The sequence below is a fragment of the Homo sapiens genome, chromosome 9 (genome assembly GCF_000001405.40).
Source record: "Homo sapiens chromosome 9, GRCh38.p14 Primary Assembly".
NCBI classification, from domain to species: domain Eukaryota; kingdom Metazoa; phylum Chordata; class Mammalia; order Primates; family Hominidae; genus Homo; species Homo sapiens.
The window spans coordinates 21,100,761-21,123,205 of record NC_000009.12 but is presented as its reverse complement, the minus strand read 5'-3'; the positions used below and the strand labels follow the sequence as shown (position 1 = coordinate 21,123,205).

At 36.0% G+C, this 22,445-nt stretch overlaps 1 pseudogene, besides 1 other annotated feature; it reads right to left on the bottom strand.

The window, feature by feature from the left end:
• Positions 3,956-4,215: an enhancer, noted in NCBI's record as "active region_28232". NCBI's record gives its function as "activates an Ori minimal core promoter by ATAC-STARR-seq in GM12878 lymphoblastoid cells {active_cell/tissue: GM12878}" and the evidence as "EXISTENCE:reporter gene assay evidence [ECO:0000049][PMID:35858748]".
• IFNWP4 (interferon omega 1 pseudogene 4) lies at positions 16,297-16,801 on the bottom strand (annotated as a pseudogene).

The following is a 22,445-nucleotide window of genomic DNA, read 5'->3' as shown; positions in this document are numbered from 1 at the left end:
AAGAGTATAATGTTTTCCCATATTTCTCGGTTTTCTAAATTATAATTTAAAAAGACAATTGGAAAATAGGCAAAAGATGAAACTCAAACTCACTATAGGCAGTAAGTATCCTTTCACATCTATCAGTTGTTCTCAAAGTGTGATTTGAAGACTGCTAGGACTCTTTCAGGAGTCATCAAGTTCCCCTCTTTTCCAACTACATGTCTGAGACTGGATTTTATTCACAGATGTCAAACAAAACAACAGATCACAAGAGACTGAATGCAGAGAAGTTACAAGAATCCATCTATCTTCTATTCAGCCAGACATTAAAAAGATTTGAAAACGTCAAAACATTGCTACTTTTCCCATTAATTTGTTGTATTAAAGCATGTAGTTATTTTCTATAAGACTCTGTTTTTATGTTAATATGTAATGGGCTTGGTTTTGTTCTTTTTAAGTGGATACATAAACATTTTCTTAATTTTAACTTATGATGAATATCAATAAATAGAAAAACACAACTACAATCTCTTTGAGGGGATGCCCATAATTTATGAGTATCAGTGAGCGCTGAAACGAAAACATCTGAGACCTGCTGGTATGGACATTTACAAGTATCTTTCTGGGTTTTTAATTGGGGTGACTATTATGAGTTTATAATAATATTAATCTCTTTTTTATTGGTTGTCCTTTTCAAACCACAGGAAAACAAATGTGCATTTTCCTGACCATGCATAGTGACTGTGGTGTAGCACCAGACGGCATTTGGAGGAAAGTCTGTTGGAAAAGGGTGGGGATGGGAGATAATGAGGACACAAAAAAGGAGGAAGAGCTTGGTTCAAAAACTGTATTTAAAAAATGAAGAGTAATCTCACCCAAAATGAGATTTATTGTGATTACTCCACAATAAAAAAATGAGGAGTAATCTCACCCAAAGTCTTAATTTAACTATAAAATTTTGCTTAACATACAGAGTTCCTGTAAAACTTGGGAATCACAAAGAAAAAGCCTAAGTTCGGGGGAAAGGAAAGAGAAGAATCTGTCTTCTTGTCTTCCACTTGTGGGCTCCTTCTCACCCTCACTCTGTGCCTGAAACTGCCTCTGCAGGCTGGGGTTCCTCTATAACAACAAGCCAACAGCTGATGGGGTAGAGAATCCACCTTCAGGCCTCTGACCTGAGGTGAGAAGGCAGAGCATGTGCCACTGGTTTCAGACATTTCTCTGTTCCTTTTGCCCTTTTCACATCCTTTGACTAGACTCATTCTTCAGTTTCCCTCCTGGTCACCTCAGGATCCAGCTGGATAATAGGCCACTGTGCTGGGGTCCTTGCCTAACTCCTGCTAATAACAACCCTCCTGATAGACACAAACACAACAGAGGGTTTACATACTTTGTGCCCCAGCCACAGTTGAAAGCTTCCCATCAATAAGTTGATGTCCCGGGGACATGCTAGGGCTGCCCATGTAATTTCTCCCACCATTCGTTGCCAGGATGTCCATGACTAGAAACTCCACATTGGCCCTATCTGATACAGACTCCAGTCAGCCTCCAGCCTGGATTTACTTTTCCCTTTGGATACCAGGTACTTTTCTGAGCTGGATGTATCTAATCGTCACAACTGTTCTTTGGGGTGAATTAAGCCAGGCCCAGGGTTAAGAAGAAAATACACCCAACATATTTACAGCAGCTTAGTTTAAAAACAATACCCACTACAATAATAAAATGAGGGGTAATCTCACCAAGTCCTAATTACGTTGGAAAATTTTGCTCAGCAACCTAAAAAGTTTCTGTGAAACTTGGGAACCACAAAGAAAAAGCCTAAGTTCAGGGAAAGGAAAAAAAAATCTGTTTCTCTGTCTTCCGCATGCTGTCTCCTGCTCACCCTCATTCAGTCCCTGAAGCTGCTTCTTCCCACTGTGGGCTCTCTCTATAACCACAAGCCAACAGCTTGTTGGGTAGGGAATCCACCTTCAGACCTCAAACCTGGTGTGAAGAGGCAGAGCATGCCATCTATGTGCCACTGCTGTCAGACATTTCTCTGTTCCTTTTCCTTTTCCCACATCCTGGATATCTTGTCATAGTCAAAAGTCTTTGACTAGATCCATTCCTCAGTTTCTCTTCTGTCACCTTGGAACCCAGGAGGAACTAGGCCACTTCACTGGGCAGGGGGGATGCGGGGGAGCTCTGCCTAACTCATGTTAATATCAGGGTTCCCGACATGCTACCCCAAAATAATGGCACCTTGAAAATTCAGAAAACTGCAGACTCAAGGTCATTCTCTGACCTTGTCTAACCTTTCTGTGTGAAAGTTGGCCATAAAATAATGCTTTGTCCTATCTCCCCTGAAAGTAGGTCGCAAGACCCCCATGTGACAGGTGTCCTTCCCTGCTTCTGGAGGAAAGGAATAAAGACACAGAGACACCAAGAATAATCTGAACAAGTAGGCCTTGCTAAGTCCCCCCTCAGTTTATTAACAATACTTCATATCCCCTTTTTGTCCAATATGCTTTTACATGACTGTCCATTTTTCAATAAACCTAAGCGTAAAAATAGACAGTTTCCCTGGGTCTTTGGATCTTCATTTCTAAATCGTCTTGTCTCTCATAAAAAAAATTGTTTCTAAAATTAGTTATGGTTTTCTCTTGTTAATCTTCTTTTATTATAGGGGTATTAGCCATGAACCTTGTAATGGGTGAGAAAAAGACACTACTTTTTCTTTCTCACAATAATGACCCTTCTCCTTTATGCAAACACAACCAGAGGGTCCTACACTCTTCACCGCCAGCCACAGTTAGAATGCTCTCATCAATGGATTGATGGCCCAGGGATACACAAGGGCTGTGCTGAGGCTCAGAAAACAATACCCCAAAATGACGGCCACAGAAGCAGCCTCAGAAGCAAAACTTTCTCTGACTTCCTCCTGCCCCTCTCTCTTTGACCCTTATTCTCTAGAATCTCTCTTCCCAAGGCAGGCCATAGAAACCAGAAATCCTTTCCCCAATGACAACCATAAAACCTAATCATATTAATTCAACCTTCTCCTTGTCTTTCTGCATAAAAACTGGCCATAAAGAAATTATTTTACCTGTTTTATCTAAAAGTAGATTATAACTCCATTCAGAGAGGGCCCTGCCCCATTCCCAGAGTAAGGAATGTTGCACAAAAAAGCCCAGAAGAATCTAGACAGACAGGCCTTGCTAGGCTTCCTCACTCAGTCTATTAGCATTAGATCATGCCCTTTTTATCCAGTCATTTTTCTACATAGCTGTCCAATTCTTCATTAACCTAAGCATAGAAATGGTGTCTTTGGCCCTTCAATCTGAAGGCTCCCATGACACATAAAACTATGATAAAATTAATTTGTATGCCTTTTCACCTATTAATCTATCTGCCTTTTGTCAATTGATTTTCACGGAACCTTCAGAGGTCAAAGGGCAAGATTTCCCCTGGCCCCTACAGCTGCCCACCCAACATCTTCTACCAGGTGCTACCTGGACTCCCTCTGCGAGAAACTCCACATTGGCTCTATCCAATACAGACTTCAGTGAGCCTCCAGCCTGGGTTTACTTTTCTCTTTCGGTATCAAGCACTTGTCTGAGCTGGACGTATTTAATCCTCACAACCACTCTCAGGCATAAATGCAGCCAGGCCTAGAGTTAAGAAGAGAATACACAGACAACACACAGCAGCTGCTGAATAAGCACCAGCTCCATTCCCTCCACAAACAGGTGAACATGTCTATTATCGGTTTTCTGCAGGAGCTTCCTGTCTCTGAAGCAGTTTCTGGCACTTCTTTAAAGTTAAACCAAAAACCCTTCATACCATTAAAACTTACAACTAAATGCAGTTTTATTTCATCATAGATAAACAGGGACTGTACAATGACTGCACAGGGACTGTACAGTGAACCGGATGGTGCAAAAATAACAATAAGAATGATGCAACAAGTGAAAAGGGAACTAAATGTGAGTTGACAAATTGGATTTGAAGAATGGAGCGGGGATTCCTCTCTTGCCTGGCACGTGCCTGAGGAGAGTGCAGCTTATCTTCACAGAGCACAGGATCCTTTTTCTGGCTTCCTGAAAGATGCCTGTGTTATTCTGGTGAAAGCTTTTAGCTCCTCAAATGGTAGACAGAACCAAGAAACCAGGAAAGTAAAGTGTGCCATTGTAGACAGCTGGTGTGTGTGTGCCAGGTAGCAGTGCTTCTGTCTATACCCTGGGATCTTTGCTGCAACATGCTTGCTTCAGTCACCAAGTGAATGGCTATTTCTGCCTCTCCATTGTGAGTAGTTGAGCTGGCATTAAAATGTTCCCTGGCCAGTTTTCTTGAAATTAACTCACTTTCCTGCAGAACTAGCACATTAGGGAATAATCCTCCAATCAGTTTCAAATAGGAGAGCTAACGTTTAAGTACCCTTAGTTAAGTGCCAGGAATCATTCTGAGTGTGTTATATAAATTAAACAATTAATCCTTGCCACAATTTTACGAGGTAGGACTATGGTTATCTTAATTTTACAGGTAAAGGAACTGGGCACACAGAGTTCTATTTCCTTTTCCTGTGTTAAGACATCCAAAAATAGTATTCTGCTCCTTGAAATAAAAAATATGATATGGAATATGAAAGGAAAATCTTCAGGGAAATAGCATAAATAAAAAACAATCACAACTTCTGGAAATCAAGGACACACTTAGAGAAATGCAGTTTTAGCAATAGAATTGAACAAGCAACAGAAAGAACTTCAGAGCTCTAAGACAAGGTTTTTGAAGTAACCCAATCCAACTAAGGCAAATAAATAAGAATTTTAAAAAAGAACAAAGTTTCCAAGAAGTTTGGTATTATGTTAAATGACCAAACCTTAGAATAATTGGTGTTCTTGAGGAAGAAGAGAAATCTAAAAGTTTGGAAAACATATTTGAAAATACAGTTGAGGAAAACTTCCCTGACCTTGGTAGAAACCTAGACATCCAAATACAAGAAGCTCAAAGAACACCTGACAAATTCATCTCAAAAAGATCATCATCTAGGCTCATAGTCACCAGGTTATCTAAAGTCAAGATGAAGAAAGAAGCTTAAGAGCTGTGAGGCAAAAGCATCAAGTAACCTGTAAAGAAGAAACCTATGAGAGTAACGACAGATTTCCCAGCAGAAACTCTACAAGCTAGAAGGGATTGGGGTCATATTTTAAGCCTCCTTAAAAAAAAAACAACTATCAGCCAAGAATTTTGTATCCACCAAAACTAAACTTCATCAATGAAGGAAAGATAGTCTTTTCCACATAAACAAATGCTGAGAGAATTCACCACTACTAAGCCAGCACTACAAGATCTGCTAAAAAGAGCTCTAAATCTTGAAACAAATCCTTGAAACACCAAGCTAAAACCTCCTTAAAGCATAAATCTCACAGGAACTATATAACAGTAACACAATGAAAAAAAAAGGTATTTAAGCGACAAACAGGCTGATGAATAGAATAGTCCCTTACACCTCAGTACTAATATTAGAATGGCAAAATGGATAGGAATTCACCAATCAAGTTTCTGCTGTCTTCAGGAGATTCACCTAACACATAAGGACTCACATAAACTTCAGGTAAAGGGGTGGAAAAAGATATTCCGTGCAAATAGACACCAAAAGTGAGCAGAAGTAGCTATTCTTACATCACACAAAACAAGCTTTAAAGCAACAGCAGATAAAAAAGACAAAAAGGGAAATTATATAATGGTAAAAAGACTAGTCCAACAGGAAAATATCAGAATCCTAAATATATATGCACCTAAAACTAGAGTTCCCAAATTTATAAAACAATTACTACTAGACCTAAGAAATGAGATAAATGACAACACAATAATAGTGGGGGACTTTAATACTCCACTGACAGCACAAGACAGGTCACCAAGACAGAAAGTCAACAAAGAAAAAATGGACTTAAACTATAGCCTAGAATAAATGGACTTAACAGATATTTATAGAATACAGGATAGAATGCTATCCAACAACTGCAGAATATACATTCTTTTCATCAGCACATGGAACATTCTCCAAGATAGACCATATGATAAGTCATAAAACAAGTCTCAGTAAATTTAAGAAAATTGAGATTACATCAAGTACTCTATCGGACCATAGTGGAATAAAATTAGAAATCAACAGCAAAAGGTACCCTCAAAACCATGCAAATACATGCAAATTAAATAACCTGCTCCTGTATTATCATTGGGACAACCATGAAATCAAGATGGAAATTTAAAAATTTTTTGAACTGAATGATAATAGTGACACAACCTATCAAAACTTCCGGGATACAGCAAAAGTGGTGCTAAGAGGAAAGTTCGTAGCATTAAATGCCTACATCAAAATGTCTGAAAGAGCACAAATAGACAATCTAAGGTCACACCTCATGGAACTGGAGAAACAAGAACAATCCAAACCCAAACCCAGCAGAAGAAAAGAAATAACAAAGACCAGAGGAGAACTAAATGAAATTGAAACAAAAAAATACAATAGATAAATGAAACAAAAGGCTAGTTCTTCGAAAAGATAAATAAAATTTATGGACCATTAGTTAGATTAACCAAGAAAAGAAGAGAGAACACCCAAATAAGCTCAATTAGAAATGAAATGTGAGATATGGCTACTGATTCCACAGAAATACAAAAGATTATTCAAGGCTACTATGAACACCTTTATGTGCATAAACTAGAAAACATAGGAAATCGATAAATTCCTGGAAATACACAACCCTCCTAGATTAAACGAGGAAGATATAGCAACCCTGAACAGACCAATAACAAGCAGTAAGATTGAAGTGGTAATCTAAAAATTGCCAACAAAAAAAGTCCAGGACCGCACACATTAACAGCTGAATTCTATCAGACATTCAAAAAAGAATTTATACCAATCCTATTGACACTATTCCAATCAATACTTTTTGTTTTAATACAGAAGCTTAAGCAATTTATATTTATTATTTTCACCATTATGTGCTCAGTTCTCAACTTTGGTTTCTGCTTTACTTTTTATGTTACTTATATATGTTTTTGATGTTTTAACTGCATTCAATTCTCCAATTATTATTAATTTTAAAACAATTCCTTTTTTAAAAGAAATTTAAATTTTCTCTTAATTTTTTATTTAAAATTTTTCATAATACTTTTAACTGATTTTACTCTTCACTGCCAGTTCTAACTAGGACTGTCACATTTTTAGTCAGCATAGTTTGTGTAACAGATATGATATTGGTAGACGTGCGTGTTAATTTATGTTCATATATAAATTGATAAGAATGACCAAGAAGTTAGTGAATAAAAAATTATTCCTGAATTTATGAAATAAAAATGCATTAATCTGAATGTTATTTGGAAGCAATACAATAGATTAGTGCCACTTATCCAAATATATTCAAGAGAAATTTTTTTAAGGTAAAGCTTATGACACCATACTCATTATTGCCATGTTCATATTTTCTATTTCTCATGATTCAGTCTTGGTAGACAGTATGCTTCTAAGAATTTCTGTATTTCTTCTATGTTATTCAACTTGTTGGTATATAATTGTTCATAGTAGCCTCTTATGATCCTTCATATTTCTAAAATATCAGTTGTTATGTCTCTTTTTTATTTATAATTTTAGTTGAATCTTCTCTCTCTCCCCCACCCCCCACCTTTTTTTCAGTTAGTCTAGCTACACATTTGTCAATTTTGTTTATCTTTTCAAAAACCACTCTTAGTTTTGTTGATTTTTTAAAATTTTTCTTTTTATTCTCTCATTTGATTCTGCTCTGTTTAATATTTCCTTTCTTCTGCTAACATTGGGCTTTGTTTTCTTTTTCTAGTTACTTGAGGTGAAAAGTGGTTTATCTGAAATCTTTCTTTCCTTCTTATGTACACATGTATCACTAGAAACCTCCCTCTTAGAACTGCTTTTGCTGCATTCCTTAAATTTTGCAATGTCGTGTTTCTGTTTTTGCTTCAAAATACTTCTTGACTTCTTTTTTAACCTCTTGGTTATTCAGGAGTATGTTGTGTATATATATTATCATATATAATACATTATATTATATATGATAATATATATAATTTAATATATATAATATATACAATTTGTAAATTTTCCAATTTTCCTCCTGTTAATTTATTTTTATTTTTTATTATAGTCAGAAAAGATACTTGATATGATTTCAATCTTTTAAATTTGCTTCTTCATTGGTTTACTGTAAACCATTCAAAATGATCCATCCTTTGTTGAAAATGGGGTATTGAAGTCTCCTATTATGATCATATTGCTGCCTATTTCTCCATTCAGATCTGTTAATATTTGCTTTGTATATTTTGGTGTTCTGATGTTGAGTACATATATATTTATAATTGTTGTATTCTCTTGATGAAATTATCCCTTTAACATTATATAATGACCTTCTTGTTATAGTTTTTTTTTTACCTAAAGTCTATTTTGTCTAGTATATTTACCCCAGCTCTCTTTTGGCTATCAATTGTGTGAAATAATTTTCTCCATCCTTGCACTTTCAGCCTAGTTATGTTCTAAAGCTAAACTGAGTCGTTTGAAGGCAGCATATTGTTGAACAATTGAGCATCTTTGAAATAGTATCAATAGAAAGAGGAGTGTAGGTACCAACAAGGAAAGGTTTGGAATGTAGTAGACCATATCTTTTGTTTTCACTTCTGTAAGAACAGCTCTCCAGCCATGGCAATGGGGCCTGCCAGCTATGTTGTTACTGCCTATGGCTAACAAAACCAGTACAAGTAAATCAGAAAATTATTCTAAGAATTTGACTCAAAAAACCTAAAGCCTTAGAGTTAGAAACTAAATAATGCTAATGAGAATATTCTGAGAACGATGAGATTTACCTAGTTCTCACCTTTTCTGAGGCCTGATTGTTTAATCTTTACTTGTACTTTGTGAGATATAATAGTATTGACGCAATAATTACCTTGCAGCCTGTATTGATACAGGTTGTCATATTTTGTAAAAAGCATGTGTGTGTGTGTGTGTGTGTGTGTGCATGTGTGCATGCGTGCTCACGTGTGTGTTAGGACAGAGAGAATTAAGTCTAATAAGTGCTATATAGAAGACTTCTCATCCCCCATCATCACAGTCATCATTGTGATTGTCTGAATTCCAGTCTCCCACAATCACCCCTCTGTTTTTCAACACGGCGTGGATCAAGGTGAAAAGTATGCTTCCTAAAGTTTAAGAATATAATGTGTTTCCCACAATAGATTCACAATGGGGAGTCAGCTTATATGTTTTTGCCTTCTTGTGTGTTTAATTTTTTTAGCATACTGCCCAGTTTCCCTCACACTCTGATTCGTTTATATTTTTTAAATATTTTCTTAGTGGTTACCATGGAAGTTACAATTAACATTCTATATTTACAACAATCTAGTTTGAATTGATACCAGCTTAGATTTAACAGCGTACAAAATCTTGACTCCTATGCTGCTCTGTCTCCCCTCCGACCTCTTGTCTTTAAACATTGTTTGCCCATTCACATAGATTAGTAATTATTGTTTTATGCATTTGACTTTTAAATCATATAGGAAATAAAAAGGGGAGTACAATAATATTATTTATATTTACCTACCTTTACCAAAGTTCTTTATATGCCTTCAAGTTACTGTCTAGTGTCCTTTTATTTTAGCCTAGAAGGCTCGTTAGCATTTCTTGTAGGACAGATCTACTAATGATGGACTCAGTCAGCTTTTGTTTATCTGGAAATGTTTTTATCTCTCTTATATTTTTGAAGAATAGTTTTGCTAGACATAGAATTCTTCGGTTATTTTTCCTTTCAGAATTTTATATATGCCATCCCACTACCCTCTGGCCTCTGTGTTTTCTAATAGGAAACCTGCTGTTAATGTTATTGAGGATCCTTTGTATGTGAGAGTCACTTCTCTCCTCCGGCTTTCAAGATTTTCTCTATGTTTTTGGCTTTCAATCATTTGATTATCCTGTGTGTGATCTATTTGTCTTTATTCTACTTGAAGTGTGTTGAGGTTTTTTGATGTGTAGACTCATATCTTTCACCAAACTTGCTAAATTTGGGGCCACACTTCTTCAAATATTTTTGCTGCCCCTTTTCTCTCTCTTTTCCTCCTGTAGTTCTCATTATATATATATGTTAGTATGCTTGATGGTGTTCCACAAGTCCTCTAAACTCTATATATTTTCCTTCATTCATTTTTTTGCTCTGTGGTCCTCAGCTGCATAATTTCAATTGATCTGTCTTCAAGCTCATTGAGTCTTCTGTCTACTCAAATCTTCTGTTAGACCCTTCAAGTGAAGTTTTCTTTTTCAATTTTTGTACGTTTTAGCTAGCAAATTTCTATTCAGTTCCTCTGTATAATTTCTTTCTCTTTATTGGTATTCTTTGATCTGATGTTGTTCTCCTGTATTCCTCTAATTAATTAGAAATGGCTTCCTTTAGGTGTTTGAACTTATTTAATACAGCTGGTTTAAGTTTTTGTCTAATAAATTTAATATCTGGGCTTTTGGGGGAAGTTTCTATTCATGACTTTTCCACCTGTGTATAAGACATAGTTTCTTTGCATTCTTATATTTTTTTGTTGAAAAGTGGACATTTTAATAATAAACTGCAGCAACTGTATAAATTAGTTCCCCATCCCCCAAGAGGTTGTTGTTGCTGCTTGTTGTGGGTTGTTATTTGTTTACTTGCTGTCTTTTCTGCACTAATTCTGTAAAGTCTGTATTCGTTAGCACATGTGCCCACTGAAGTCTCTAATCAGTTAGCTTAGTGGCCAGCTAATGACTGAACAGAGATTTCCTTAAGTATCTGGAACAAATAAATCTCTCAGTTTTAGCCAAGAAGCTCTGTGTGCATGTTGAAGTGCATGTTTAATACTTAGCCAGGCAGTTTTCAACCCTGCCTTGGCCTTCAGTTTCTGCTTATGATAAAAGTCAGCCAGAAGTGAAAGACTGGGTCTTTCCTGAACATGTGCACAAACTTACACATGTACAATGCCCTTCTAGATTCCCAAAAGTATGCTAGAATTTGTCAAAGCCCTTATAGACATCTCATCTCTGTTTTTCCTTTTAAGATTTTCAGTTGGTCATTATTTACTACAACCGTAATTAATCACCTCAGGTAGCAACTATATCAAAACACTGGCCTGTAAATGTCTTTAGTCAACACTCCTCAGGGAGAGTCTTTTAGCTTTGAGTGAGCTCCCAGACAGCTTAAATAAAGATAAGTCTTTCTACTAGGGTATTTCGAAGTCAAATAATGACAATCTTTAGGAATGAAGCTATGAAGGCACTCCAGATTTTTTCTATTCCCAGTGGTACCAGGAAGGAAGCCCATTGCTTTTTAAGGCTACCACTGAACTTGATAATGGGTGATGGGATTAATTCAAGTTAATATGCCACAAATCTGGCTATACTTACACTTACAGCTGTTTTCCTCAAATAAATGCTCCTGGGTTGTTGCATGCCTTGGGATAACTCATAATATTGTAAAAAGATTTATTCTGACAAATTTTGCTCATTTTTTCTTTACTTTTATGAAGGGGCAAATTTTTTAGAGATTTTTACTCTGCCATTGTTTCTCATGGCACCACTTTCTACCCATTTTTAAAAGCATCTGAGAAAACGAACCCCTAGAAACAAAATTGGGCCCTCCTGGAACATTAATTTGAACATAATGTCAGGGTTTAACAACCCTGAGGTTCAATTTTTTGTTTCATTGAAAACACAACACAAACAAAAATATAGCCTTGTTGTTCTGATTAGTGTCCTGTGTGAATGTATGTTCCCTTTTCTTTTTTAAATTACTTAACAAAAATGGGAAATAACAAGATTATCTTGGGAGTAAAAAAGAATACAGTGATCGAAAAACAAATTTCACATTTCTGGGATCACTATTATGAATTAGAGGTTTTGTGTGGGCTTCATTTATGCATTTGTTTCTTTGTTTTTACTTAGGCAGCACATCAAACTGTCCTTTCTTTACATTCTAATTTCCTGAATTATTCCCAGCTAATGACCATGGTAAAGTTATCAGTATGTCGTCTCTAAGCCAGTATTTGACGTATAGCCAGTAGATGGCAGTATAACATCAAGCGTACATACCTGGTTAAGAGTGACAGCACTAGTCAAAGCAACACTCCAAAGCTGAGGGTCTAGAGCACAGAAAAAGAGTTCCCTAAAATCTTTATTCTTCCATTGTTTTAGTTTGATCCTGTCCAACATTGGATCAGGATCACCAAAGAAAGGCCATTAAAAACCTACAGAAATAGATGGAAAGCATGGTGTAATGAGGGAACCCCTGGTGCTTATGTGCTACACTCAGACCCAAGAGAATTCATCTGCCTTCTTGGTAAAAGGTTGGGGTAGAGACATAGTAAAGGAAGAGTCTACATGGTGCTCAGGTAAAAGTTTCAGTTGTTTATTTCATTATAAATGTACCTTGCTACAGTTTCAAATATGTCTTGAAAAACACTTCAGAAGCTATAACAATCAATGATGGCAACAGTATTACCACTATTTTAAAAAGTTTTCAATTCCAGGATGAGAACTGTCTTCAGAGCCAGTTTGCAGGCTAGACAAGAATATCAAACTCATCACTTTATATTGATAGCATGTTTCTTCTTAAAATGAAAATTGTTTAAGTTGATCACTGTTCTATTGATTACATGACTCCTGAAACATGCAGGAATATATTTGGAATATGTGACGCTAATCTAGCTTATTGCATCCAAATGCATTCCTTCTAAGAGCATTTAAATTAATATGCTTTTATTTCCTAAAATCAGGAATGAATTTCTCTTCATCAACTTCGTGGAACTTCCCATATATTTATTTATGAACATAAATTCACATGCATACGGATCTACTTATCTCCTATCTCTTATACATACTATGTTGACCAAAAGCAACAGTATCAGTAAGAGCTGGCAGTAAATAATAAAATCAGTTAAAAGTTCTGAAATACTTTTAAAATGTTATTTTAAAGTACTATGCAATTTTTAGTTCAAAAATAAGAGAAAATTTAAATTTCTTTTAAAAATATATTGTCTGAAATTAATAATAATTAAATAATTGAAGGAAGTATAAATGTTAAAAACATATAAAAGTAATGCAAGAAGTAAAGCATAAAGCAATAAAGTGAAGAACCAAACACATAATAGTTAAGATAATAAATATAAGCTGCTTAGAGTTCCCTATTAAAAGAAAAAAGTCTTGATTGGCTTAAAACCAAACCCCGTTATTACTCTACATATGAGAAAAGCCTAAAATTAAAAATACTAAAACAGTAAAAGAAGAAGATGGGCAAGAAAGAGAAAAGCAATACAACAAAGGAAAAATAGAGGTGGCAATATTAATATCAATGAGATATTGATTAATATAAATATTGATACTTGTGGGAATTCAATGAACATTTGAGAAAGAGTATCAATATACATAGGAAACAAATAGGATTTATAACCAAATTATAAAAGACATAGAACTGAAATTTAATATACAATATACAGAAAAAAGTTAGCAAATATAGAGAAACAAACAAAAATGTCATTTTAATATTGACATTTTTAGCATTGTGATTTAAAATATAGCATAGAAAAATAACAAGAATAATTTCAAATATAATTGAAAAAGATACATTATTGGCTAAGATTCTGGGGCACTAAGTTACAACTTAGAATAAAAAATATATTTTTCATATATTTATAAATCATTCACAAAAATTACCCTGTATTAGATTACAGAAAACTATCAAATTCCTCCAGAGAAAAAACACTCTAAGTTGTATAATTAGATCACAATGCCTGGAATTATTCTTTTTAAAATGATTTTTAAAGCGAACATTTAGATATTTAAAATCATACTGACACATTCAGTTAAGTCAGGAAGAAAAAGTAAAATAAGTAGTTTAGTTAGTAATGGAATTAAAGCACTATTCTTAAAATATATTGAAGCAAAGCTACATACAGAGGTAAACATTCATCAAACATAGGAATTAAAAAGAGGTTAGCCTCACTCCTTAAAGTCAATGAAAAGATGTTCAAAATCCACTAATATAAATAATAAAAGCTAATGTTTATTGAATGTTCACACTGCAACAAGGACTGTGCTAAGCACTTTACAGGAAGCACTTTAAATCCTCACCAATCCTATCAAGCTCTTAAACAATGTCTTATTCTCCACAGCCTGCCAGTAAGTAATAATGACTCTCATTTATTGAGCACCTACTCTGTACAAGAATATCTATTATATAGCAGAACTATGATTCAAAGCTAACTTATCTTCCCCAGTTCCATATATTTTCCACTGTGACAACATTTAAAATCACATTAATAAATTAATTAATCATTATTAAGAAGTGTATCTTAGAAATGGAAGGAAGACTTGATGCTATAATGCATCATGTAACATTTCAGAGTTGGATAAGTGGTAGTTCCATAAGGATTAGTTGTAATGTGGAATTTAAACCAAAAAAAAATGAGTTTTCAAATTATGTTACATAGAAGTTTATGAATAAGCCATACACTGAATGGATCTCTTTTGCCCATGCTAAATTTTATAATATATGAATTCGTTATTTAGGAAATATTGGTTCACTGAGTTTTGCGGATGTTACAAATGTGTATTTAAATTTCAATCTATATTATCGAACGATTCAATGGCCTATATCACCACTATTATCACCACAAAAGTTTGAAGAATAAGGAAGTTATCAACCTCGTAATGACGGATACAAATTTTTCCAAAATTCCAATTTTCTACTAAGATCTCAAATGTTATCACTGGTGACAAATACTGGTGATTGTTGCCCTTGAAGTGACAGGTTCACTTGATAAATATTTTGAAAAACTGTCAAATGCCCAAGTCTCAATAACTACTGTTTGTCTGTCTGTCATTCTTTCCACTAAAAATGTTATTCTGCTAAAGAGTGGCTACTTCAGTTCACAACTCAATCGCATGAGTGCATTTCCTTGACACAATCATTTTCTATCAGTATGAGCCATAAGCACAGTCATGCAGAATATTAAAAAGACTATCACATAGAATATTAAAACGATTGTACTCAAAGTCAAGATGTTGAAAAATTAATAATTTTTACTGTGTTCTGAAGGGCATTCTTAAAAGAAACTGGTATTTTGTTTGAATTCAAGTACATCATAGTGAAAAATGTAATAATTACTACCGCCTTTTGATGCCACTGCCTTGATCAACACTCAGGCACCAGCAGTTTTACCCACCATTGTTTCTGCACCATCACTGCAAGTTGTTCACATGGTGAAAGAGACAAGTAATGTCGATTTATTACAAAAATAGTTTTGACCTCGTGGAGCCTCTTAAAATGTCTTGGGGACCCTTATGGTCATATGGACCACATTTTGAGAACTTTTGGTCTAACAAATATCTTTGTTAGTGCTCTGGTAAAGCACTCTTCAGCTTTACATGCCAAAGTAATTTTCCTTGCCTCTCAAGTCCAGCATCTTTAACATAAAGCTGTCACTGGGCCCTTTTCCATTTCCCCAGCATCATTACATGACACTTCACCATTTACCAGTCCAGTCTACCCACTCCAGTCTTTTTCACTTCTTTCAATTTTCCTGGCCCTTTCCAGCTACGGGGCCACTCTCTATGCAGTTTTTGTTTTTGTTTTGCCCTAGGAAATTTTGCCCTCCACAAGATACTTAACAAACTCCTACTTATCCTTCAAGTCTCTGACTTCATATTACTTCCCTGGGGAAGGTAGAAGGCAACCTAAATGAGCTGTCCGTGACATTCACTGCCATAGCCTCTTTTACTTCTCCTGTGTAGCCCAGATGCCAAATGTAAATTCCATACTAGATTATAACTTCTTCAATGGCTGTGTCCTTTGCTGTAATGTGAATTCCATAAGGGCAAGGATTATGCATCTCATACTCAAGATCTGTCACCAAGGCCAAAGCATGACTGTAACAAAAATTTTTATATTTTGCGTGCAGAATTCAGATTTGAGAAAAAGTTCTCTTTAAAAAGAGGAGAAAAGTCTTACAATAAACTTAATGAGTTTTTTAAAGTAGTATTTCTATTAACGAGGAAAATGTAAATATATGCTTATATAAACAATACAGCATATAAATACAAATACCATCAAAAATAAATAGACAAGTTAATAAAAATACATATTTTATAACCTGAGTTTCAACCACAAGATACCAGTGGCATTTCTTCCAATTCTAAAATTAGTTATATACAGACACATTTAACATTACTGATAAGAATATGCCAAAAATGGTTCAAGTTATTTTACCACTGAAGGCAAAAAGAACAGTTATAGAAATGACTGAACAGAGTGTGAGCTAGGACATTAGTCATTGAGAATTGGGTTTCCTGAATTTTCTTAATATATTTTATTTACACTCAGACAACCTCCCAGGTACAGTTCCTGAATTTCCTCTCTTTCAAGAAGAAATGTACTCCCTGGAAGTACCTCTTTATGGCCAGTGTAGGGCCCTCAATTTCCAGGGCAGACTCTTGCTTCCCATCCTCTATACCAAGCAGGTCTCCAGGTCTTCCAGCTGCTGATGAAATCCAGTCTGGAGTTTGTCCAGGAAGGCCCTATTCCAAGCATCAGACAAGCCCTTGTGTAAAAGAGGCTGAAGATCTGCTGGTGCATCTTATGGAGGGCAGAAATCACCTGAGCTTTCCAGACAGGAAAGAAGGAAGATTGTCCCCACTTGGCCCAGAACTTTCCCAAGCGAAGTCTTAGAGGCAGGTCGCAGAAAAGGGAATAGATGTGTCAGGAGATCATCACCAATGCCACCAGCAAGGAGACCATTGGTAAGTTCCAAAAGAAGCTCTTCTGGTTAAGATGGAATATTGGGAGCTTTGCCCCAGCTTCTCTGAGGACCTTCTGCTCATGAGCCCCTTAAATATTCAGCACACGATTTCATTTTCTGAATTTTCCTCAGATCTTTTCACTTCCCCACTTTGAACTTTTTCGTCTCTTCAAGGGCCTGGGAGACAACTCCGTCTATCTTCTTACAATTGAGTTAAAATTACTCACTAAAAAATTAAAAGTTCTAATTCCATGGGATGCTTATCACCTCAACAAAAATTGACTTTGAACTAATGATAGAGCTGTCTGGGTCTTCCTGATGTTCAGGACAACTTTTAAGAAAGCTTTACCAGGCTCCTTTTAAAAGATCTTTTCTATCCCTCTAGATTTCCCTCCTGAAAGTGTTGATATATTAGATCATGTATGTAAGATACATTCTTTTATTTTTTTTTTTTTTTTTTGAGATGGAGTCTCGCTGTCTCCCAGGTTGGAGTGCAGTGGCGCGATCTCGGCTCACTGCAAGCTCCGCCTCCCGGGCAAGCTTCGCCTCCCGGGTTCACGCCATTCTCCTGCCTCAGTCTCCCGAGTAGCTGGGACTACAGGCGCCCGCCGCCACGCCCAGCTAACTTTTTGTATTTTTAGTAGAGACGGGGTTTCACCATGTTAGCCAGGATAGTCTCGATTTCCTGACCTCGTGATCCGCCCGCCTCGGCCTCCCAAAGTGCTGGGACTACAGGCGTGAGCCAACGCGCCCCGCCAGAAGATACATTCTTCTTGTGCATAAATCTCATCTTATTCTTTGCTACATCCTCAAATACCAGGAACTTAGAAGTTTTCTTGCTTAATTTCTGTGTTTTTAATGAATAGGGTCCTTGGATTTCTTTAACCCGTTGGAACTTTCACCTGGCTCAAGATTGGTTCAAGGGACAATGAGCTAGAACAGAAGTTGTTCATCCTTATTACCATTGTATGAGTTGGTTGGACAATGGCCTCTGGCTTCTAATCCCATAGCATTATATTAAAGTTCACCATTATTATCTAGCTTTCCTGAAGTATCCTCTCACCTCACTGGTTTTCCACATATATAGTGGACTTTGCACTCAAGACTAGACTATGAGCATCTAGCTTAATATTTCAGACATCCACATTTCCACAATTGTAAACTTTTCTCAATCACTTCCTGAAAGTAAAATACATATGAGCAAGCTTCACCAGGACGCTTCGGACAATATTGTGTTAGGGGCACAATTTGAGAATTGGGGGCAAGCTTGCTGTACATACAAGCCTAAACTGTTTTATCTCTCAGGTTTCCTCCTTTGAACTCAAACATACCTAAGCAGAATATGTATATGAATATCCCACTATGGTCAGTAGTGACTTCCTTTTTTTCCTTGTGTACAATAAGTCTGCTAACCCCTTCTCTTCAAAAGGGGGAAGAAAAAGTAATTCACACACAAAGCCACCAAAAGTAAATAGGAAATGACAGAAAGTGATTGAGAAATTCTCGATCTAAATGAAAATGTCAGCTGCAGACAGGTCCAGCAGTGGGGGAAACTGGCTGTTTAAAGCAGGTTGTTACCTATAGGGCTAGTTTTCAGCTTTGCAAAATCAGGGAATTTATTTATTTAGTTAGCTGTGTATTTACTTTTTTTCACTATACACAGTGATTATCAGACTGCAAACAGTTAGCCACACCAACCACACTCCAAAGAGACTGGGTCATACACTGCGTGGCCATTTAATTCATGTTTGAGAGGTCAACTTTCCCATGAGCTAATAGGTGTTAGTCATTTGGAAGGGGCACTCTCTCCATTTACATGCTCATGTTCACAGTAAGAGGTGAAATTACAATAACAACGTTTATCAATGACCTGAGAATTAAAGGAAGAAAAGCAGATCTTTCCCAGGAAATTTCCACTCAATTTCCATAGTTGGGGTTGCATTCATTTTCTCCATTGTGGGAATGGCTAACACGTGCCAAGTGCTTATTTTATTCAGGCATTGTACTAAATACATAATATCATCCAATTCAATTTCTTTCATCAATGTTTCATAGTTTTATTGTAGATATCATTCACTTATGGTTAAATTTATTTTTAGGTATTTTATTTTATCTTATTTGTGTCTCTTGTTAATGGTATTACTTTCTTGGTTTCTTCTTCAGATTGTTTGCTGTTGGCATATGGAAATGCTACTGATTTTTAAAATTTTTTAAATTTTGGGGGGTACATAGTAGGTGTATCTATTTATAGAGTACATGAGCTACTTTAATACAGGTATGCAATGCATAATAATCACATCCTGGTAAATGAGATATCCATCCCCTCAAGCATGTATCCTTTGTGTTACAAAGAATCCAATTATACTATTTTAGTTATTCTAAAATGTACAATTAAATTATTATTGACTATATTCACCCCTTTGTGCTATCAAATACTAGGACTTCTTCATTCTTTCTAACTACTTTTTGTACCCATTAACCATTCCTACTTGTCCCCCAGTCCCCCATTACCCTTCCTAGCCTCTGGTAACCATCCTTCTATTTCTATATCCATGAGTTCAATTGTTTTAATTTTAAGCTCCCACAAAATAAGTGAGAACATGTGAAGGTTGTCTTTCACTTTACATAATACCTCCAGTTACATCCATGTAGTGACAAATGACAGAATCTCATTATTCTTTATGGCTGAATAGCACTCCATTGTGTATATATACCATATTTGCCTCATGCATTCATCTGTTGATGGGCAGTCAGGTTGCATTCAAATCTTGGCTATTGCAAATAGTGCTGCAACAAACATGGGAGTGCAGCTATCCCTTTGATATACTGATTCCCTTTCTTTTGGGTGCCTACCCAGCAGCGGGATTACTGGGTTATCCCACTCTATTTTTAGTTTTTTGCGGAACCTCCAAACTGTTTTCCATAGTGGTTGTACTAGTTTACATTTGCACCAACAGTGTACAAGAGTTTCCTTTTCTACATGTCTTACCAACATTTGTTATTGCCTGTCTTTTGGATAAAAGCCATTTTCAAGAAATGCTGATTTTTGTAAGTTCATTTTGTATCCTGCAACTTTACCAAATTTGTTTATCAGTCCTAATAGTATTTTTGGTGAAATATTTAGCTTTTTCTGGAAAAGGATAATTTGTCTTCTTCCCTGCCAATCTGGATGCCTTTTGTTTCTTTGTCTTGTCTAATTTCTCTGGCTGGGACTTCTAGTACAATGTTGAATAAAAGCGATGAAAGTGGTTGGGCTCTATGGCTCATGCCTGTAATCCTGGCACTCTGGGGAGCCAAGAGGGGTGGATCACCTGAAGTCAGGAGTTAGAGACCAGCCTGGCCAACATGGCAAAACCCTGTCTCTACTAAAAGTACAAAAATTTAGCCAGGCATGGTGGTGGGCACGTGTAACTCCAGCTACTTGGGAGGCTGAGGCAGGAGAATTGCTCGAACCCGGGAGGCGGAGGTTGCAGTGAGCTGAGATTGTGCCATTGCACTCCAGCCTAGGCAAGAGATTGGGACTCTGTCCCAAAGAAAAAAAGTGGTGAAAGTGTGCATCCTTGACTTGTTCTAGACCTTAGAGAAAGGCTTTGAATTTTCCCATTCAGAATGATACTAGCTGTAGGTTTGTCTTATATGGCGTTTATGGTGTTTAGGTATGTTCCTTCTATACCTAGGTTTTTTAGAGCTTTTATTATGAATGAATGTTGAATTTCATCAGATGCTTTTTGAGCATCAATTGAAATGATCATAAGGTTTTTGTCCTTCATCTTCATGACAACCTATCAAAATATGTGTGGTTATCATTTACATGTAGCGGAGGATAATAAGGTGCCCAAGGTTACAACATGGAGCAGGCTGAGGCTATGACAAGAACCCCAGCAGTCCAGCCACAGAGTCTCCATGGTAACCATTAGACTGCCCTTCTGACTAATACATTACATTCCTGTTCTCATTTTCCTTAGTTACCAAAAGGCACCATTCTCTTATTCCAGAGGCACTATAATACACTTGAATAGGATGCAGATAACTTTCCAGTTTCTAGTTCTAGCCCTGCCTTTCAAATGATAGGTTTTGTTGAGTTCAGCTGGATCTTTCAAACTTTCTATTCTCATCTCACATATTTTTAGGCATTATCCAGCTCTTTCTGGCTCTTTTGTACTTGCCCTATACACAGTGTGCAGATTTCAATCATGCTATGGTGCAGCAAGAACACTCTCACCAGATGCTGGTTGTGTATTGTTGGAGCTCCCAGACTCCAGAACTGTGAGCTAAATAAACTTCTTTTCTTTATACATTACCCACTCTGTGGTGGTCTGTTATAGGAACAGAAAACAAAGACCACTAGCCATGAACAATTCAAAAAAATTAAAATAAATATTCCATTTATAATAACATCAAAAAGAATATAATACTTGGCAATAAATTTAACAAAGGATATGTAAGAGTTGTCCACTGAAAACTGCAAATATTGCCGAACTAAATTAAAGAAGACCTATATAAATGGAAAGGCCTTCCATGTTCATGAAGTGGAAGACTTAATATTGTTTAGATGCCAATATTCCCCCAGAGTAATCTATAGATTTCATGCAATTTTGATTCAAATACCAATGGCTGGTTTTGCAGAAATTAAAAATCCAATACTAAAATTTATATGAAATTGCAAGAGACTCTGGATACCCAAAATAAATCTTTTTTTTTTTTCCTTTTTCAAAACAGAGTCTTGCTCTGTCACCCAGGCTGAAGTGCAATGGCACAATCTCAGCTCACTGCAACCTCCACCTCCTGGGCTCAAGGAATCTTGAAAATATAAGGGCAAATTTGGGGGGGCTCACCCTTCCTTGATTTGAAAATATATTACAAACTAGTGTAATCAAAACAGTGTGGTACTTGCATAAAGGTAGACATATAGACCAATGCAATAGAACTGAGTGTCCAGAAATAAACCCATATGTTTATAGTCAATTGATTTTCAACCAGGGTACGAGGACCACTCAATGTGGAAAGAACAATACCCAGTTGCCCTAGCAACTGGATATTCACATGCAAAATAATGAAATTGTACCCCAACTTCACATCATATAAAAAATATTTCAAATATATCAAATACCTAAATGTAAGAGCAAAGCCTTAGAAGAAAATGTAGAGATTAATCTTTATGATTTGGATTTGCCAATGAATCCTTAGATAAGATAGGAAAGGCATAAGCAACAAAAGAAAACAGATAAATTGGACTTCATCAACATTTAAAACTATTGTGCTCAAAAGACACTATCAAGAAAGTGAAAAGGCAACCTATAGAATGGAAGAAACTATTTGCAAATCTTATATCTTAGAAAGGACTAGTATTCAGAATATATAAATAACTTTTACAACTCAACCAAAACAGACATCCAATTATAAAATCTGCAAATAACTTGAATAGCCATTTCTCCAAATAAGATACACAATGGACAACAAGAACATGAAAAGTTGTTCAACATCATTAGTCACTGAGGAAATGCAAATCAAAACCACAAAAACATATCACCTCTCACCCATTAAGATGGCAATGATAAAAAAAGAAAAAGAAGAAAGAAAAAAATAACGTTTTGATGTGGAGAAATAGGATCTCTTGTGGGCTGCTTTTGGGAATGTAAAATGATGCAGGA